Raw genomic sequence first — 19,883 nt, forward strand, 5'->3', positions numbered from 1 at the left:
TAGCATTAAAAGATACATGAAGTCTGTTTCAGTATAGTCTTTTTTTTTTTTCCCTCCAAGGCAGAGTCTCACTCTGTCGCCCAGGCTGGAGTGCAGTGGCCCGATCTCAGCACACTGCAGCCTCCGCATCATGGGTTCAAGCAATTCTCCTGCCTCAGCCTCCCGAGTAGCCGGGACTATAGGTTCGCGGCAGCAAGTCCAGCTAATTTTTGTATTTTTTAGTAGAGATGGGGTTTCACCATGTTGGCCAGGCTGGTCTCGAACTCCTGACCTCGTGATCCGCCTACCTTGGCCTCCCAAAGTGCTGGGATTACAGGCGTGAGCCACCGTGCCCGGCCAGTATAGTCTTATATTTGTCCACAATCTGGGTGCTCCCATACATTGTTTGTCATTGAGCTCTAACTTGGTAGACTTGTACACTACTGGCCAGTAAATCTTACCATATGCCATGTTACAAAAGCTCTCAAACAGTGAGTGCTCTGTCACATATTTAGAATGTGCTAAATGTTGAAGTGAAAATTTTACAGTGGTTCTTTTAAGGAGTCTTGATGGAAATGATAGAGAAGTCAAGAGTGTGAAGATCAACACATTATAAAAATTGGTAAGTTGGCCGGGCTCACGCCTGTAATCCCAACACTTTGGGAGGCCAAGGTGGGTGGATCACTTGAGGCCAGGAGTTCAAGACCATCCTGGCCAACATGGTGAAACTCCGTCTCTACTAAAAATACAAAAAATTAGCCAGGTGTGGTGGTGGGTGCCTGTAGTCCCAGCTACTCGGGAGGCTGAGGCAGGAGAATCGCTTGAACCCAGGAGGCAGAGGTTGCAGTGAGCCAAGATCACACCATTGCACTCTAGCCTGGGCAGCAGAGCAAGACCCGGTCTCAGAAAAAATTGGTAAATTGGAGGTCATGATAAACATCAATAAAGCCTGGAAGGATTGATTATTAATTGTATAGCATTTAATAGGAGAAATTTTTTAGTGGTATTTATTAACTTGTAAATTTATAAAATCTCAGCATTTATTCACATGGATAAAGAATCAGAGGTGGGAAAGAACATGATACTCTTGAGGAATAAGATGTCAGTGTAGATGTAGAGAAGTAAGCAAAAAAGAAAGTGACAAAAGTATAAACTGGAGAGGTAGGCAAGTGTTAAAATTGTGCCAGACCTCATAAGGTCTTAGTAAGGAGTCTTGATATTATATTTAATTTTATTATCAAGATATATTTAATATCAAACAATTGAAGAATTTCAGGTAGAAGAATCACTTGAATAGATCTTTCAAAATATAAGTTTAACAGCTGAATGGAGAATGGATTGGAGGAGGAGGAGGCAGAAGTAGATATAAGAATATTATTGAAGATAGTATTTCAGTAATCCAGATGTGAGATAATAGTAGCTTGGATGAAGGTAGTAGTTGTAGACAGAAAAGTAAATTGGTTTTCATTAAATGAGAACATGATTTAATGTTGATTGTGAGCATTATGGGGAGAGGGAGTGATAGAGAATTACTATAGCGTGAACAACTGGGTAGATGATATAGAGAATAGAGAAGAAAACATTGATTAGTATGAAAATAGATGTATGTGTTGAGATGTGTGTGGAGCATGGAGACATTGAGTAGGCACTTAGATGTATAGCTTTAGAACCCAGAAAAGAGGTCACTCTTTTAAATTGGAATTTCTTAACAGATGGTGTTTGAAGCAATCATAGTAGATACAATTCTCTTGGAAAACAGTATAAATTGAGAAAAGAAGAGGACTGAGTACAGAACTCTGAGGAATTTCAACATTTAAGATTGGGTAGAAGAGGAGGAGTCAGGGATGAAGATGAGAGATAGATGTCAAAAAAAAATAGAAGAAAGTAAGAATTTGTAGTATCACACAAGTCATGGAAGAAGAGTTTCATAAAGGAGGAGGATGTGATCTAATAATTGAATGTTGCTAAAATGTCAGATGAAGTTAGGACCAAAAAGTGTCCATTAGTTTTAACAATATGGAAGTTATCAGTGACTTGAAACAAGAATGGTGGGGAAGCCAGAGAAGAGTGAGAGCATAAGTAGAAGGTGGAGAGGAGGATGCACAGAAAGTAGACAACTCTCTTGAGAAAATATTCCTCTTGAATGTGAAGGGTTCACTGTTTGAAATTTGAGGTGTAGTGGAACAACCAGATGGAGAACTATTTCATATCAGATAGGTGAAGCTGTGGCCTCAGAATTTGAGTGAGAGGTGATGTTTATAGAAATCTGAGTCATTCGAATGGAGGTGGTAAAGACTTTGGAAGAAAAGGGAGCCAAACTGGAAGAGCACCTATAGGCAGAGATTTTCTTTGGGTTGTCATTAAATAATATTGTAGTGTTTTTTTTTGTTTGTTTTTTTTTTTTTTTGAGATGGAGTCTCACTCTGTCACCCAAACTGGAGTTCAGTGATGCTATCTCGGCTCACTACAACCTCTGCCTCCCGGGTTCAAGCGATTCTCCTGCCTCAGCCTCCACAGTAGCTAGGATTACAGGCACCCAACCACCACGCTCAGAAAATTTTTGTATTTTTAGTAGATGTGGGGTTTCGCTGGTCTCGAACTCCTGAGGTCAGGTGATCCACCTGCCTCGACCTCCCTTACAGGCATGGGCTACTGTGCCCAGCCTGTAGTGTTCTTTAATATAAGTAATTTGAGCATGGATTTGTTTCATCTAACTGTTGTCCTGAGCTTTGACTGAGACAATTCAGGTTATGTTCTTTTCAAATTTGATGTGGTTAAAAGTTAGAAACAATGCCCTAAATGCTCGCAAAGAGTTGTCAAGATAGGAGCATACATAGGATCTAATTTTACTGCAAGTGTTAGGCTATATGATTTTGTGAACCTACCAATTTGGCTAGTTTTCCAATTGGTACTTTGTAAGTGAAATATATCACTTGCATTGACTGGATCAGTAGTGATTCATAACGCTGCTTTATATATACACTCTGTCTTTTTTAGTAGACTTTGTTTTTTAGAGCAACTTCAAGTTCACAGCAAAATTGAGAGGAAAATAGAGATTTCCTGTGTACCTCCTGCCCTCACCCACGTATAGCCTCCGCCATTATCAATATCCTCCACAATTGTTTCAGTTTAAGAACCTACATGGATACATCATTATCACCCAAAGATTATTATTTACATTGGGGTTTACTCAATGGTGTTGTATATTTTATGGGTTTGGACATATGTTTAATGTTGTCATTTATCATAATGATATAATACAGAGTGGTTTTAACACCTTAAAAATCTTTTTGCTCTGCCGATTCATTCCTCTCCCCTAGTCTTTGACAATCACGGATCTTTTTTTTTTTTGAGATGGAATCTTGCTCTGTCACTCAGGCTGGAGTGCTGTGGCGCGATCTCGACTCACTGCAAGCTCCGCCTCCCGGGTTCATGCCATTCTTCTGCCTCAGCCTCCCGAGTAGCTGGGACTATAGGCGCTGCCACTACGCCCGGCTAATTTTTTGTATTTTTTTTAGTAGAGACGGAGTTTCACCGTGTTAGGATGGTTTTGATCTCCTGACCTCGTGATCCACCCGCCTCGGCTTCCCGAAGTGCTGGGATTACAGGAGTGAGCCACCGTACCTGGCCAATCACGGATCTTTTTACTATTTCTGTAGTTTCGACTTTTCCAGAACGTCACATACTTGGAATCATACAGTACGTAGCCTTTTGAGATTGGCTTCTTTCACTTAGAAATGTGCCTTTAAGGTTCTTCCATATCTTTTTGTGGCTTAATAGCTCACTTCTTTCTAGTGCTGAATCTATTGTATGGATGTACCACAGCTTTTATTTACCTACCATTCACCTACTGAAGGACATCTTAGTTGCTTCTAAGTTTGGCAATTATGAATAAAGCTGCTATAAACATCTATGTGCAGGTTTTTGTGTGGACATGTTTTCAGCTCCTTTGTGTAAATACTGAGGAGCACGATTGCTGGATCATATTTTAAGAGTATATTTAGTTTTGTAAGAAACAGCCAAACTGTCTTCCAAAGTGGCTGTACCATTTTGCATCCTCACAACAATGAATGAGAGTCCCTGTTGCACCCACATCCTCTCTAGCATTTGGTGGTGTCAGTGTTTCTGATTTTGGCCATTCTAATAGGTGTGTGGTGGAATCTCATAGTTATTTTAATTTGTGTTTTCCTTATAACAAATAATGTGGAGTATCTTATCATAATGCCTGTTTGCCATCTGTGTACCTTCTTTGGTGAAGTGTCTGTACAGGTCTTTGGCCTGTTTTTTGATCCAGTTTTTTTTTTTTTATTATTGTTTTAAAAGTTCTTTGTACATTTTGGATAATAGACCTTTATCAGATAAATCTTTTTCAAGTATGTTCTCCCAGTCTGTGGCTTGTCTTTTCATCCTCTTAACAGTGTCATTTGCAGAGCAGAATTTTTATTTTTTATTTTTTATTTTTTTTAGACAGGCTCTCACTCTGTCACCCAGGCTGGAGTGCAGTGGTGCAATCACAGCTCACTGCAGCCTTGACCTCCCAGGCTCAAACCATTCTTCCACCTCAGTCTCCTGAGTAGCTGGGACTATAGGCACATACTACCATGCCTGGCTAATTTTTATATTTTTTTTGTAGAGACAGGGTTTTGTCATGTTGCCCATGCTGGTGTTGAACTCCTGAGCTCAAGCGATCCACCCACTTTGGCCTCCCAAAGTGTTGGGATTACAGATGTAAGCCACTGTGCCTGGCCACAGAGCAGAAATTTTTAATTTTAGTGAAGGTGCACCTTATCAATTCTTGTTTTCATAGATCATTCCTTTGGTATTGTGTCTAAAAAGTCATTGCCAAATCAAAGGTCATCTAGATTTTCTACTGTTATCTTCTAGCAGTTTAATAGTTTTGTGTTTTATATTTAGTTTTCTGATTCATTTTGAGTTAACTCCTGTGAAAGGTATAGGGGTCTGTGTCTAGATTTATCTTTTTTTATATGTTGGATGTCTAGTTCCAGTACCATTTGTAAAAATACTATCTCTGATCCATTGTATTGCTTTTGCTTTTTTGTCAAAGATCAGCTGACTATATTTGTGTGTGTCTTTTTCTGGCCTCTCTATTCTGTTTTATAGATTTATTTGTCTATCACCAATTTGACACTGTCTTGATTACAGTATATCTTGAAGTAGGGTAGTGTTAGGCTTCTAACTTTGTTCTTCTCTGTCAATAATGTGTTGGTTATTCTGGGTCTTTCTCCTCCATATAAATTTTAGGATCAATTTGTCAATGTTTATAAAATAACTTTCTGGGATTTTGACTGGGATTGTGTTGAATCTGTAGATCAAGTCAGGAAGAAATGACATCTTGACAATATTAAGTCTTTCTGTTCGTGAACATGGAATATCTTTTCATTTATTTGGTTCTTTTATAGTGTTTATCAGAGTTCTGTTGTTTTTTCATATAGATCTTGAACATATTGTGTTATATTTATATAGAAGTATTTTGTTTATTTTGGTGCTAATGTAAATTGTGTTTTTAATTTTAACTTCAACTTATTCATCAGTGGTATACAGGAAAGTAATTGGCTTTTATATATTAACCTTGTATCCTGTAACCCTGCTATAGTCACTTATTCCTGGAGGGTTTTTGGTAATTTTTTTTTTTTTTTTTTTTTGAGACAGAGTCTTGCTCTGTCTCCAGGCTGGAGTGCAGTGGCGCAATCTCGGCTCACTGCAAGCTCTGCCCCCTGGGTTCATGCCATTCTCCTGCCTCAGCCTCCCAAGTAGCTGGGATTGCAGGTGTGTGCCACCATGCCCAGCTAATTTTGTTGTATTTTTAGTAGAGACAGGGTTTCACTCTGTTGGCCAGGCTGGTCTTGAACTCCTGGCCTCAAGTGATCCACCTGCCTCAGCCTCCCAAAGTGCTAGAATTACAGGCATGAGCCACTGTGCCTGGCCCAGGTCTTATTTATTGATGCATTCCGACAGTCTGTGTCTTTTCATTGGTGCATTTAGACCATTGACCTTCAAAGCAATTTTTAAAAAAAAAATTATTTTATGTATTTATTTATTTATTTTTTTGAGATGAAGTCTTACTCTGTCACCCAGGCTGGAGTGCAGTGGCACGATCTTGGCTCACTGCAACCTCCGCCTCCCAGGTTCAAGCAATTCTCATGCCTCAGCCTCCTGAGTAGCTGGAATTACAGGCATGCACCACCATGCCTGGCTAATTTTTGTATTTTTAGTAGAGACAGGGTTTCGCCACATGGGCCAGGTTGGTCTCGAACTCCTGACCTTAGGTGATCCCCCCATCTTGGCCTCCCAAAGTGCTGGGATTACAGGCGTGAGCCACCGCACACAGCCCAAAGTGATTATTGATATAATCTCCTTCACTTTTGAAGGACAATTTTATAGGGGTACAGATTTTTAGGTTGGTCTTTTTTTCCTCTTTCTTCCTGCTTATATGGTTTCTTCACTCCTCTTTCTCCTTGTTTAGGTTTCTTAGGATAAATTAGTTGTAATTCTTTTCTTTACTCCTCCGTAGGTATAGTGTTTTTTTGTTTTGTTTTGTTTTTTTAAGACAGTGTCTCACTCTTTTGCCCAGACTGGAGTGCAGTGGCCTGATCTCGGTTAACCTCAACCTCCACCTCCCAGGCTCAAATGATTCTCCTGCATTAGGCTCCCAAGTAGCTGGGATTACAGGCTTGCGCCACTACCGTCCGGCTAATTTTTGTATTTTTAGTAGAGACGGGGTTTCACTATGTTGGCCAGTCTGGTCTTGAACTCCTGGCCTCAAGTGATCCACCTGCCTCAGCCTCCCAAAGTGCTAGAATTACAGGCATGAGCCACTGTGCCTGGCCCAGGTCTTATTTATTGATGCATTCCGACAGTCTGTGTCTTTTCATTGGTGCATTTAGACCATTGACCTTCAAAGCAATTTTTTTAAAAAAAATTATTTTATGTATTCATTTATTTATTTTTTTGAGATGAAGTCTTACTCTGTCACCCAGGCTGGAGTGCAGTGGCACGATCTTGGCTCACTGCAACCTCCGCCTCCCAGGTTCAAGCAATTCTCATGCCTCAGCCTCCTGAGTAGCTGGAATTACAGGCATGCACCACCATGCCTGGCTAATTTTTGTATTTTTAGTAGAGACAGGGTTTCGCCACATGGGCCAGGTTGGTCTCGAACTCCTGACCTTAGGTGATCCCCCCATCTTGGCCTCCCAAAGTGCTGGGATTACAGGCGTGAGCCACCGCGCACAGCCCAAAGTGATTATTAATATAATCTCCTTCACTTTTGAAGGACAATTTTATAGGGGTACAGATTTTTAGGTTGGTCTTTTTTTTCTCTTTCTTCTTGCTTATATGGTTTCTTCACTCCTCTTTCTCCTTGTTTAGGTTTCTTAGGATAAATTAGTTGTAATTCTTTTCTTTACTCCTCCGTAGGTATAGTGTTTTTTTGTTTTGTTTTGTTTTTTTAAGACAGTGTCTCACTCTTTTGCCCAGACTGGAGTGCAGTGGCCTGATCTCGGTTAACCTCAACCTCCACCTCCCAGGCTCAAGTGATACTCCTGCATTAGGCTCCCAAGTAGCTGGGATTACAGGCTTGCGCCACTACCGTCCGGCTAATTTTTGTATTTTTAGTAGAGACGGGGTTTCACTATGTTGGCCAGTCTGGTCTTGAACTCCTGACCTCAAATGATCCACCTGCCTCGGCCTCCCAAAGTGGTGGGGTTACAGACCCGTCTTTTTTTTTTTTTTTTTTTTTTTAAGAGATTAAAAAAATTTTTTTTTATTTTCTATAGTTTGAATATAACTATGTATAGGTTTTTTTTGGCATTTTTCATGCTTGGTGTTCTCTGAACTTTCTGTATCTGGGAATTGGTACGTGGCATTAATTTGGGGGAAATTTTCAGTCATTTTAGTTACAAGTATTTTTTTCTCTTTTCCTTCTGGTATTCTTATTACACGTATGTTACACCCTTTGTAGTTGTTCCACAGTTCTTGAGTATTTTGTTCTATTATTATTATTATTATTATTTCACTTTGCTTTTCAGGTTTGGAGGTTTCTGTTGAGATATCCTCAAACTAGAGATTCTTTCCTCAGTCATGTCCTGTCTCCTAAATAAGCCTATCAAAGGCATTCTTCATTTCTGTTATCGTGTTTTTGATCTCTAGCATTTCTTTTTGGTTCTTTCTTAGAATTTTTCTATACTTTCATTGCCCATCTGTTCTTGCACGCTGTCTACCCGTTATAGCCCTTAGCATATTAATTATAGTTGTTTTAAATTCCTGGTCTGATAATTCTAGCATCTCTGCTATATCTGAATCTAGTTCTGATGTTTGCTCTTTCTCCTCAAACTTTTTTTTTTTTTTAACCTTATGCCTTGTAATCTTTTCTTGATAGCTGGACATGATATATTGAGTAAGAGGAACTGCTGAAAATAGGCCTTTAGTAATGTGATAAGCTGTTGGGGGAAGGGGAGCATTCTATAGTTCTACGATTAAGTCTCAGTCTTTTAGCAAGCCTCTGCCCCTGGACTGTGAACTTCACAAGTGCTTCTCAGTTTTCTCCCCTGTTTAGAGGGGACAGGATAGCAAGAATGGGCTGGAGCTGGGTGTTTCCTTTCCCCAGGTCAGTTAGGCTCTGATATAACCCCAGCAGGTTAGGCTTTCGTCAAATAGTTTCTGCTGAGGGCAGACCGTATTAAGAATAGAATGCTCTTAGGCTGGGGTGGCACATGCCTGCTAATCCCAGCACTTTGGGAGGCTGAGGTGGGCAGACCACTTGAGGTCAGGAGTTCAAGACCAGCCTGGCCAAAATGGTGAAACCCCGTCTCTGCTAAAAATACAAAAATTAGCTGGGCATGGTTGCGTGTGCCTGTAATCCCAGCTACTCAAGAGGCTGAGGTGGGAGGATCACTTGAACCCAGGAGGTGAAGGTTGCAGTGAGCTGAGATCTCGCCACTGCACTCCAGCCTGGACAACAGAGCGAGACCCTGTCTCAAAAAAAAAAGAAAAGAAAAAAGAGTAGAATGCTCTGGCTTATTTCAAAATGGTTCCCTTTCCCCTTTCCCTGCCAGAAGAATGAGGGGATTTCCCCCTTGATGCTGTGAGATCTAGGTCAAGCTTCCCACGAAAGTGTGGGAGTCCCCTTGAAGTTTTTAACTCGCAGAGTTGTCCACACTAAGCCTCTAGCAATTTGTCAATTATAATTCAAGCTTTTCTGCCCGACATCTGGTTCCCACAGAGGTTCCTGCTTGTGGGTTTCTGCTTAGGTAATTTGTGACTTTTTTTGTATTCACCTGTCTGTCCCTTCGAATTTGGGTCAGGGTTTGTGCTGTGAATTTTTTTTTTTTTTTTTTTTTTTTGAAGACAGGACCTCATTCTGTCGCCCAGGCTGGAGTGCGGTGGCATGATCTGGGTTCACTGCAGCCTCGCCCTCCTGGGCTCAAGCAATCTTCCCACCTCAGTTCCCCAAGTAGCTGCGACTACAGCCGTGCACCACCACACCTGGCCTATTTTTGTATTTTTTGTAGCGATAGGGTTTTGCAAAGTGGCCCAAGCTGATCTTGAACTTCTGAGCTTAAGCTGTCTGACCACCTCAGCTTCCCAGGGTGTTGGGACTACAGGGTGAAGCCACCAAACCCAGCTTTTTGTTTTTTTTTAAGAGATGGGGTTTCACTCTGTTGCCGAGTCTGGAGTGCAGTGGTAACTCACTATAACCTTGAACTCTGGGCTCAAGCGATCCTTCTGTCTCAGTCTCCTGAGTAGCTAGGTCTACAAGTGTGCACCACCATGCCTGGCTAATTAAATTTTTTTTTTTTTTTTAAATAGAGACTGGGTCTCGCTATGTTGCCCAGACTAGCCTCAAACTCCTGGCCTCAAGCAGCCTTCCTGCCTTGGCCTCCCAGAGCACTGGGTTACAGGTGTGAACCACCATGCCTGGCCACCTCACTTCTTTTATGCATCTAAGAAGAGTTGTTGATATTTCAGTTTTTTTACTTTGTTGTTCGGATAGAATAGTGACTTCCAAGCTACTTAAATGCTGCACTAGAAACTGGAAGTCTATGTATACTCTTGTTGTTACTCTTGGTTCACACAATTTGTGGTATACAAATTATATCTCCCTGTTAGATTGCCACCTAGAATGATCCGAAATATAAGACCCATCCCTCTTTCCATGAATTTATCCCTTGTTTATTATCTACTTGTAGAACATAGAATATCTCAGTTTAGGGTCTGATCTTTGAAGGTATAGGTGCCCAATTAAAGTTGAAACTGATTTTGATGCCATTTGCCTCAATTTATATCATACTATTGGGATATATTTGTTAAGATTCTTGTTGCAGGTTAAGGCAATCCACTGGAGCTAAGTTAGAAAAAAAAATAACAGTTATAAGGATATGACAATATCTCACAGAATCCAAAGGCAGCTATTGTAGCTGTATCTTTCAGGCATAGCATAGAAGGGTCTGTAATTCATTCAACTTAGATCAGGAGCTCACACCAGGCTAATAAACTGGTTAGGAGCTCACACCAGGCTAATAAACTGGTTAGGTGGATAGGTTTTCCCTGAATATGGCGTTTTATCTTGTGATGAAAGTATATGTGTGTATGGCGTGGTGGTAGACAGTTCTATAATTCTGTTGGCAAAGATAATCCAAGAGATGTCTAACATCTCAAAATTGGAGATACAGACTTTGGCTAATATGGTATTAATTAATATTTCAGTCATGGATAAACAATTTATATACCACTTTAGTTTCTCCAGAGAAACAGAACCAGAAGGAGATAGAGGTTTCTGTTTTGTTGTTGTTGTTGTTTTGTTTTGTTTTGTTTTTTGAGACAGTCTCGTGGTGTCACCCAGGCTGGAGTGCAGTGGCATGATCTCGGCTCGGCTCACTGCAACCTCCACCTCCCAGGTTCAAGCATTTTCATGCCTCAGCCTCCTGAGTAGCTGGGACTACAGGTGCCTGCCACCACACCTGGCTAATTTTTGTATTTTTAGCAGAGACGGGGTTTCGCCATGTTGGCCAGGCTCTTCTCGAACTCCTGACCTCAGGTGATCTGCCCACCTCGGCCTCCCAAAGTGATGGGATTACAGGCACAAACCACTGTGCGCGGCCCGGAGATAGAGGTTTCTAGCTTGCAGACAGTAAATCATGAGATATGTCAGCCTCCATAATTTTGTGAGTCAGTTTCATTTGATAAGTCTCATTATGTGTGTACACACACAGAGAGAATTATATATATGTATGTAGGCATGTATTTATATCATGGGGAGGGCAATCCGGTGTACTCAGTTCCATTCAAATGCTTATCTCTTCTGGAAACATTCTCCCAGACACACCCAGAAATAATATTTAATCAAATGTTTAGGCATTCCTTGTCCCAGTCAAGTTGACATGTAAAATTAACCATCACAGGGATGTTGTATATCTCAGTAGTTTCTGTCCCTATGACATGTATATACAAATTTATGTCATTTTGAGTCTGATTACTCCAGACGTGAGAATTAAGCATGCTCCTTCTTTTAGTCCCAATCGCAGATCAGTTGCTGTTCTAGCGATTTCAATGCCTATGTATATTTGATACGTCTGTTATCACATTTTCCAATATTTGTTAAACTACTCTGCTTTTTGTTTGGTGTGAACTAGGTGAAAACACTCACCTTGTTCTTTATAGCTCTTGACTGGGAATTTGATGTTTGTGAAAGATGCCAGATGGATATGCTGGAAATTGAAGCCCTGTGTGAATGTGGGGAAGCAACAATGTCAGCTTCCCAGATCCTATTCTCTTAATGTATTTTGGTCTTGATCTGCAGGAATAAAGCTCTTTTCAGAGCTTATTTCATTTCTTTTTTCTGCCACTGTAAGGGTGTTCATATTCAAAGGGTGTCTTTTTAGGATCAAATTTACTTAGCCTCTTCAGAAAGTTGAACATCAGGTTACTTTTTCGTTCCTAGTTTTCTGTTTCATTGCTCAGACTTGAGTTGATCACTTAAGACCAGTTGCCCTAATGGATTATTAATTGTATAAACAAACTAGTCCACTGATTGGTTTCATGGTTCAAATTGCATCTTTGCCTTTCTGTTCTAATTCTTTCACACAAATTGCTTTTTTGATGATGAATAATAATAGCTATCATTTATTGAGCAGTTACATATCAGGTCTGTGCAAGGCACTTTATATAAATACCTTCATCATCATTAAAAATATCCCGCAAAGTATAGTTTTCATATAAAGTGTAAAGAAACTGAGATTCAGAGAGGTTATCTTGCTCAAAGTAGCAACAGCTATTAAACAATATAGCATGGGCCGGGTATGGTGGCCCATGCCTGTAATCCCAGCACTTTGGGAGGCCAAGGCAGGAGGATTGCTTGATCCCAGGAGTTCCAGACAAGCCTGGGCAACACAGCAGAAACCTGTCTCTATTAAAATATAATAATAATAAAATAAATAATAGAACATGAATTCAAGCCTGGATCAGCCAGATTTTTGTACCAGTGTTGCTTCTACCAAACTCCAGTGACTCTTCATAAAAGATGTTCATTTGGATTAAATATCAAGCCAGGTATGTTCCATATTGCTAATGGTTGATTTAAAATTCCAGACTCAGTTTTGCCAGATATTCCATTGCTGTAGTCACACTCTTGAATCATACTTTTTCTTTCTTTAAAGGTAAAATATCGAACTAATAGGAACTTTCTGATAAGTTGTGATTGTGAATAGACAGCACAAAACCTTGAGAAAACATGGTTTAAGTCTGAATTGTTCTTCTTTTTTTTTTTTTTTTGAGACGGAGTTTTGCTCTTGTTGCCCAGGCTGGAGTGCAATGGCGTGATCTTGGCCTGGCGCGATCTCAGCCCGGCGCAATCTTGGCCCACCGCAACCTCTGCCTCCCGAGTTCAGGTGATTCTCCTGCCTTAGCCTCCTGAGTAGCTGGGATTACAGGCATGCACCACCATGCCTGACTAATTTTGTATTTTTAGTAGAGACGGGGTTTCTCCATGTCAGTCAGGCTGGTCTTGAACTCCTGACCTCAGGTGATCCACCCGCCTTGGCCTCCCAAATTGTTGGGATTACAGGCATGAACTACCATGCCCGGCCTTGAATTGTTCTTTAGTATGTGTTGGCATTAATAAACTTTGAAATAGTAAGTACATTGAAGTTTTAGTGGTCCCAGTACAACTCTTGGGATCCTTTGTATGGGACTATTTCCCAGGTGGAAGTTCTTCGAAAGTAAATCCTTTAGTTATTTTAATTTGATTTACAAGTAGTGAGCACATGCTGTGTATTATCCATGGTATCATACACTAGGGATACAATGACAAAAGAAGCAATCTCTATCCTGAGAAACCTTAATAGTCTGGAAGGGAGAGACAGTTTTAGAAAAATCATGGATCAGTTCATAAGTGCTCTGATAGGGGTAAAAGGTACACAAGATCGAAGGGGCACCTATCTCAGACCTAGATCAGAAGGACTTAATGGAAGAAGTGATGTCTTGGATAGAATGAGGAGGACAAGTAAGAGTCAACTGACAATGGCAGGGGCAAAGTTTGGAGAGGGTTCAAGGCTTAAAAAATAATATGGATGAAGACTTTTTTTTTAACTGGTTTTTAAGATAGAATTCATATATCATAAAATTCACTTTTAAAGCACACATTCAGTGGTTTTCAGTATATTCACAGAGTTGTGTAACCATCACCATTTATAATTCCAGAACATTTTCATCACCCCAAAAACTCCCTACCCATTAGTAGTCACACGCCATTTCCTCCTCTCCCCAGCCCCTGGCAACACTAATACACTTTCTGTCTCTGTGGACGTGCCTATTCTGGACATTTCATATTAATAGAGCCACATAATATGTGGTTGTTTATGACTGGCTTCTTTCACTTAGCATAATGTTTTCAAGGTCCATTCATGTTGTAGCATGTATTGGTATGAAGGTGTGTTTTGGAAAATAGGCAAGATTGAGAATTGAGGGTTTGTGTTGATCAAGATGACTACTGCATAGAGTAAGAATTTGAGAATAGAGAATAAGATGTCATACTAGAGAAGTAAGCAGAAACCAAATCAAACAGAACAGAACATTGTCAGCTATGTTATGGAAGTATGGACTTTATCCTAAGGGCAATAGGATGACATTGAATGATGTTAAGTATGGAAATGATACAATCAGATTTGGGTTTTGTATTTGTGTGGAGAATAGGCTAGATGGGTACAAAACAGGGGGCAGGGAGACTAGGATTCTTGCAAAAATCTAGGCAACAGAAAGATGGAGGCATTATGGGATATGGCAGTGGGAATGGAGAGAAGTGGATGGATTTGAAAGATTTAAGAGGTAAGATTGATAAGACTTGATGTTCGATTGAATGTAGAGTTGGGAGGAGAGGATAGTATCTAGAATTGTACTTAAGTTTCTGAGTTTATGAGACAAGTGGATGATAATGCACTTACTCATTAAGGAGCTGGCTGCTAGGTAAGTTCCTGCGGTGCCAATATATAAGTAGTAAAATGGCACTGGAACATTAATGAGTCAGAAAAAATGCATTTACTGGAACCCTACTTAGTAGCAGTGTATGTGGGTTGGAGGAAAACTTTGATAAGCTACTGTAGATGGAGTAAAACCCCTCTCTTACCTCGCTTTTTGCCTGAGTAACATTAGTTGTTTCCTAAACTGTACTCTAAGAGACCCAAAGCTTGTTTTATTGAGTGGCTACCATCAGTGGGTCATCTTTTTTCCCTGTCCCTATTAAGGTTTTTATTCTTCTCTTTAAAATGTTTATATGAGATTGGTTTGGAGACTATCAGATTACTAACCTGCTGTTCCATTTGAATTACACCAAAATGTAGTGGTTTAAAATAACAATTTAATTATCTCTCATGGTTCTGGGGATTGATTGGGCTTACTTAATTAGGTGGTTCTCTCTCTCTCTATTTTTTTGAGACATAGTCTCACTGTGTTGCCCAGGCTGGAGTGCAGTGGTGCAATCTTGGCTCACTGCAACCTCCACCTCCTGGGTTCAGGAGATTCTCATGCCTCAGCCTCCCGAGTAGCTGGGACTACAGGTGCCTGCCACCACAGCTGGCTAATTTTTGTATTTTTAGTAGAGACGGGGTTTCGCCATGTTGGCCAGGTTCTTCTCGAACTTCTGATCTCAGGTAATCTGCCCACCTTGGCCTCCCAAAGTGCTGGGATTACAGGTGTGAGCCACCGCCCCTGGCCAGGTATTTCTCTCTTAGGGTTTTCATGCAGTTGTAGTCAGACAGTGGCTGGGCTAGAGTCATCTTGAGGCTTGCTCATTCACATGTGTAGAGATTCATGGGGCAGATCACCGAAATGTGGGCTTTCCGTGTGGTTTCTCTGGCATGGTTACTGGGTTCCAAGAGTGAGTGTCCCAAAAGGAGTGGTCAGAAACTGTATTACCTTTCATGACCTGGTCTTGGAAGTTACATAGTTTCCCCTTTGTTATACTCCATTAGATGAGGTAGTTGTGAATGTCTGCCCAGGTTTAGAGGAAGGAGACATAGATTTCACCACTCAGTTGAAATCACCCATCCCACACTATCTTCTTAATGTGACTGTGACACCTGAGTCACAGGTGCTACGTCACAATCACATTAAAAAATCATGTGGGATGGGAGATATAGTAGCAGCCATTTAAAAAAATACAATCTGCCATCCCTACCTGAGAACCCTGCTCAGACTAAGATTGGGAACAGAAAGAGGGGACTTGGAAGATTGAATGTGATTTTGTACCTGTTGAGTTTGAACACTTTGTCAGACTTTCTGGCAGAAATGTTAAGAAGTTTCTTTACTGAGCCGGGTACAGTGGTGTGTACCTGCAGTCGTAGCTACTCCCAGCCTCAGGAGGCTGAGGCCGGAGGAACACTTGAGCCCAGGAGTTTGAGTCTAGCCTTGTCAACACTGCGAGACCCCATCTCTAAGAAATAAAATAAAATTTAAGAGTTTGATTACTGGTCAGATACTGAATTTGTTTACAGAGAATAGTATTAATCACAGCCAAGATAGGAAACATCTTTAACTGATAATATTTTCAAACATATCATCATTTTATTTTCTTTTTTAAAATCTATGGCCAGGATTTTGGAAATTTTCACCCTCACAAATAATTCTTCTGTTATAAACATGTTCATATCAGAGATTCCTATGAATTTCTTGCATTTTATATTTTAAGCATCATCTTTATACCTGTGACCTTTCCTTATAAGTTTATGTAAGAACTAAAATCTTTGTTTCTTAATTTTAAATGATGGTTCTTTAACGTTCCTTCATATTACAGTTAAAATTTTAGTCTTCTGTTATACATCCCAGGGAGATAATCTTTTTAGATCCTTATCTTTCCCATTCCCTTTGCTTTTCAGTTTTTATATTTCAAAGTAAAACATTTATTTTTATTTATTTATTTTTTTGAGACAAGGTCTGACTCTGTTGCCCAGGCTGGAGTGCAGTGTCATGATCACAGCTCACTGCAACCTCCACCTCCCAGGCTCAAGTTGTCCTCCTGCCTCAGTCTCCCAAATAGCTGGGACTACAGGCACATGCCACTATGCCTGGCTAATTTTTGTATTTTTAGTAGAGATGGGGCCTTGCCATGCTGGCCAGGCTGGTTTTGAACTCTCCTGGCCTCAAGTGAGCCACCCACCTTGGCCTCCCAAAGTGCTGGGATTAAGGTGTGAGCCACTGCACCTGGCCAGATTTATGATTTTAGAAAGCTATTTCAGTTAAGATTATGAAGGATATATTTTATAGAGAAATGAAGGCAATAACACTAGTTTGGTAACTATATGAACCACTCTAGGCGAGAACTGATGAGGGCCTAAGCTAAGGCAGTTGTAGAAATGGGATGAGGGTGATGAAATTAGGAACTTCTTTGGAATCTTTGCCATGGTAGTGTGTTATATGCTATACTTAATTAAATAATTAAATCATTCCACATATTTTGAATACTACTATGTGAAAAGAATTGTGCTGGGGCCTTGGAATAAAAGTATGAATAAAAAGGGTTTCCTGTCTTGGGTGAACTTATGGTTTAGTGTAGTCGTTTTGTAAAGAGAGAAATTACATGTAATGTGAAATATAAACATTATGGGAACACAGAGAACTATGTGATTAATTATTGTAATTATTAATTTCACATTGGGAGATGACATTTGAGTGGAATATTAGAGGAGTTCTGTGAAATTCTTTGTTTTCCTCTCATGTATCTTGAACTGTATTGAAGACATTTGTACTGTTTTATGTTGTATACCTATCCATCTATCCATTTACTAAACTTCTTTTGTTCCTTCCAAAAAATGATTCTGTAATGTCAAAAGGCAATGAATAAGTCATTACTGTAATGCTCATTCTGGGTAAAAAGTACTGGCGTTATTTGTCTCTTTATCTGAGAAGCATATTCTCCATGGGAGGTGATGGAATTCTTCTTTTCACTACATATTGCTTGTTGGTTTCTCTCTGTGTCTCCCTTTCCCTTCCTTTATTTTTCTGAACTATTTCTTTATTTATTAGGGCATTAGCAACTTTAAGTCTACTTTTAAGAATGAATGCAATAATTTTATTTTATTGTATGTCACTTCTCAAAGGTAAGAATGGAGACTTACAATTAAACAGGATGAGGCCAGGTGCGGTGGCTCACGTCTGTAATCCTAGCACTTTGGGAGGCTGAGGTGGGCGGATTGCCTGAGCTCAGGAGTTTGAGACCAGCCTGGGCAACATAGTGAAACCCTGTCTCTACTAAAATACAAAAAAATTAGCCGGGCCTGGTGGCGTGCATCTGTAGTCCCAGCTACTCAGGAGTCTGAGGCAGGAGAATTGCTTGAACCCGGGAGGTGGAGGTTGCAGTGAGCCGAGATCGTGTCACTGCACTCCAGCCTGGCGACAGAGCAAGACTGTGTCTCAAAAAAAAAAGAGGATTTATTGACCCTTCCTCACACACACCATTTATTTTCTTTCTTTCTTGAAACCCTCATAAAATGGTAAGAAGTAAGAACAGAAGAGGAGATAACAGTGGATGAAAGGTTTCAGTAAATGGAAAGAGTGAAGGTCTTCAAACTGAAGACGCAATAAGCTGCTTGCCTGCGGAGGAAGATATGTTGAGAAGCCCCACAGCACCTTAGAGAGATTTGTGATATAGAGACTCCAAGGTTCTCTAAGGGCTTAGGTGAGGTGTGGTACTGAAAGTAGATTGGCTGGAATATGATACAAAGAATGATTAGTTTTGCAGAATCCTATGTAGCCAAGTAACTTTCCCCTTCATCCTGCAGGGGTCTAGAAGTTTATTTTCTGGAAGAATTGAATAGAGGATACTTTGAATTGAAGGATACCAAGCATATCAGGAGGGGATGAGGTGCAGGTTGAAAGTAGATTAAGGAAAATGTAAAGTTATAAATGTGGCCGGGCGCGGTGCCTCATGCCTGTAATCCCAGCACTTTGGGAGGCTGAGGCAGGCAGATCTCTTGAGGTCAGTAGTTTGAGACCAGCCTGGGTAACACAGTGAAACCCTTTCTCTACTAAACATACAAAAATTAGCTGGGCCTGGTGGCAGATGCCTGTAATCCCAGCTACTCAGGAGGCTGAGGCACGAGAACTTCTTGAACCTGGGAGGTGGAGGTTGCAGTGAGCCAAGATTGCACCATTACATTCCAGCCTGGGTGATTGAGTGAGACTCCATCTCAAAAATAATGAAATAAAATAAAATAAAATAGTAAAGTTGAGACTAGCCACTAGTGGTCTTGTGTGATTTTCCACCAGCCAGATTTCAGCTACTTAGGGGAATGTATGTAGTAGGTGGATGGTTGGATTTAGCTAGAGTTGAGGCTTTGCCAGCTGAGACTGGAATATAATTCCAATAGAAAAACCTGTAATATTATTTGTATTAGGGTTCTGTAAAGAAACAGAACCAATAGTATATGGAGGGGTGTGTGTGTGTGTGTTTAAATTTATTATAAGGAATTGGCTCACACATTTATAGAGGCTGAGAAGTTTCCCAATCTGCTGTCTGCAAGCTGGAGACCCAGGAAAGCTGGTGGTGTCATTCTGAGACTAGAGGGCCAATGATGTAAGTCCCATTCTGAGGGCAGAGGATTGATGTCCCAGCTCAACCAATCAGAGAGAATTCCCTCTTCCTCAAGCCTTATTTTATTCACGTCCTCAATGGATTGGATCATGTCTGGTCACACTGGGGAGGGCAATCTGTTTTATTCAGTACACTGATTCAAATGAGATTAGCTCATCCAGAAACACCCTCACAGACATACCCAGAAATAGTATTTAATTTGAGTACCCCATGTCTCAGTCAAGTTGATATATAAAATTATCTATTATTGGACTTGCCTCACATATTGAAAAACTATATATATGATTTGACCTTGAATCTATAGAGTTAATTTTGTTTAAGAAAATCTTTAATCAGCTAGGTATTAGAGGAGTGGTTACTTTACTTTCATTCTCATTTTGACCTTGGTTTGTATTTTTATTCTTTCATACTTCTGATATGACTTAGTCCTTTATTTAATAGATATAAATCTGTTTCTTAGTGTCAGTAGCTCTTCTCATTTAGAGTATATCATAGCATGTGCATATTTTTCTAGTTCTCAAGACAGGGAAATCTTTTACCAGTGATTTTCATTCTTTATTCTTCATTGGGTCTTGGAAACTTGAATTTTAGGCCTTTTACTTATTCTCTTATTTTTTATTAAGCATATCATTTTCACATCTGATAATAGAATATTTGTAATGTCAGGAAATTTTTCTTGCTGCCTCAGTTTATCTTTAAAATTAAGTAGTGTTCATTAAATTATCTCCAAGATACTTACGTGTTCTGAAAATACTATGATTATGTGTTAGATATTTTATACTGATAATATAATATTCATAGTCTTAGT

General features: G+C 40.1%; 1 protein-coding gene across 5 annotated transcripts in view, besides 1 other annotated feature; it reads left to right on the forward strand.

The window, feature by feature from the left end:
* The window catches only part of ZFYVE9 (zinc finger FYVE-type containing 9), a 204,546-nt gene that overhangs the window by 53,665 nt on the left and 130,998 nt on the right, over nt 1-19,883 (forward strand). Inside the window, exon 1 of one of the 5 annotated variants that reach the window (XM_047434682.1) lies at nt 3,562-3,678. The exons of 2 other annotated variants lie outside the window; for them this stretch is intronic. The gene's annotated coding sequence lies outside the window, so the exon portion shown is untranslated. Of the gene's footprint in view, nt 1-3,561; nt 3,679-19,883 lie in introns of those variants that run through there. 2 more of the 5 variants (XM_047434674.1, XM_011542437.3) reach the window with 2 other exon arrangements.
* Nucleotides 2,130-2,330: a silencer, noted in NCBI's record as "peak225 fragment used in MPRA reporter construct". NCBI's record gives its function as "represses an SCP1 promoter by STARR-seq MPRAs in K562 erythroleukemia cells {active_cell/tissue: K562}" and the evidence as "EXISTENCE:reporter gene assay evidence [ECO:0000049][PMID:32103011]".

The sequence above is a fragment of the Homo sapiens genome, chromosome 1 (assembly GCF_000001405.40).
Source record: "Homo sapiens chromosome 1, GRCh38.p14 Primary Assembly".
In the NCBI taxonomy this organism is placed as follows: Eukaryota; Metazoa; Chordata; class Mammalia; order Primates; family Hominidae; genus Homo; species Homo sapiens.